The sequence below is a fragment of the Homo sapiens genome, chromosome 5 (genome assembly GCF_000001405.40).
Source record: "Homo sapiens chromosome 5, GRCh38.p14 Primary Assembly".
NCBI lineage: Eukaryota > Metazoa > Chordata > Mammalia > Primates > Hominidae > Homo > Homo sapiens.
Window position 1 is genome coordinate 87,938,370 of NC_000005.10, and position 1,370 is coordinate 87,939,739.

The window sequence follows — 1,370 nt, forward strand, 5'->3', positions numbered from 1 at the left end:
GCTCCTCCAGGTACAAACTGTGTTCCTTTTTAAAGGTCACTTAATTCCCAGGAGTTTGGTAATAAGAAAATATATGAGAACTACTTCAAGAATATAAAGTAATTTGTTCGATTTCTTTAACCCTAAATTATCCGACTAGAAAGACTGCATCAATTATATTAACATCTTTGAGAAAAGATACACTGACAATTGGAAGGGAAAATGGTTTTTCTAAAATAAAAATGACTGATAGAAATGTGTTTAATATGTAAAAAAGAAAGATTGAATAATATTATGGGCACATAGTTTAATGAACGAATGAACGTCTAAAATGCATTTTTGAGGGTACCAAATGCAGGTTACATACATTCTTCTAATTTTCTTCAAATTATCAAATGGAATATTATCAGTAAAGATACAATAATCTGCTATTTCATTTTGAATAATTATATTTATTCATTTACACTCTATTCAAGAAAATATTTCAATTAATGAACTGGTAGTATATTTTTAAAAATCTTGTTTGAGAGACAATTGAACAATAATTGAAATGACAATAGAAAATAAAGTATGAAATGTACGTAACTTTTGAAATATTATCTTAAAGGATAGCCCAGAAATAATTCTAATTTTTTTTTAAATATCTAACTACCAAAATATATTTCCTGGGACTAATAAGAAATTCTGTGTTCATATATGCAGTATCACATATTATACAAACATGACTTCTCTCCAACTCAGGCAGAAGTAATCAGTGGTCAAAGGCAGGCTTGCAGTATCTTAATAAAAACCAAAACTTTTTGGAGTCAGGAACCATCTAAGCACTTTAGATACACTGTCTTGTTTCATTTTCTCTGAAATCCTAAATGACAATATTATCACCATTTTACATATGAGATAACCAAGAATGAGAGGGGTAAGTACCTTGCCCAAAGTCACACAAGTATGAAATGAGAACACTAAAGTATAAATGTAGCTTAATCTCTATTTACACTCCTAATTACTTCATTTTCCTGCCTCCCTTTCCTTGATTTTTTGAAAGAGAATTACTTCCTCCTCACACATGTATACTTGCTACAACTCTTTACATATGGACACTCTGATCAGGTAGTTTTTCATGATGTTCCAGCAAAATGAAGACATTCTGCCACAAGCCTTCTGGCTTCCTGAATCATCACCCCTTACCCTCACCCAATGTACTGCGATAATCTCTGGGGCCAGAGAACATTTGTGTATAATGTAGAGTTTCTCAGATCTGCCACAGTCAAGACGTTGGTGGAAACATGGCTCCAGGATGCCACACACAGAGACGAGGTAGAAGGCAGGGGCAGGTTACCATGGCTCTCCCTGAAATGTGAAAAGCAGAAACCTTTAGCCCGCTATGGTGTTGT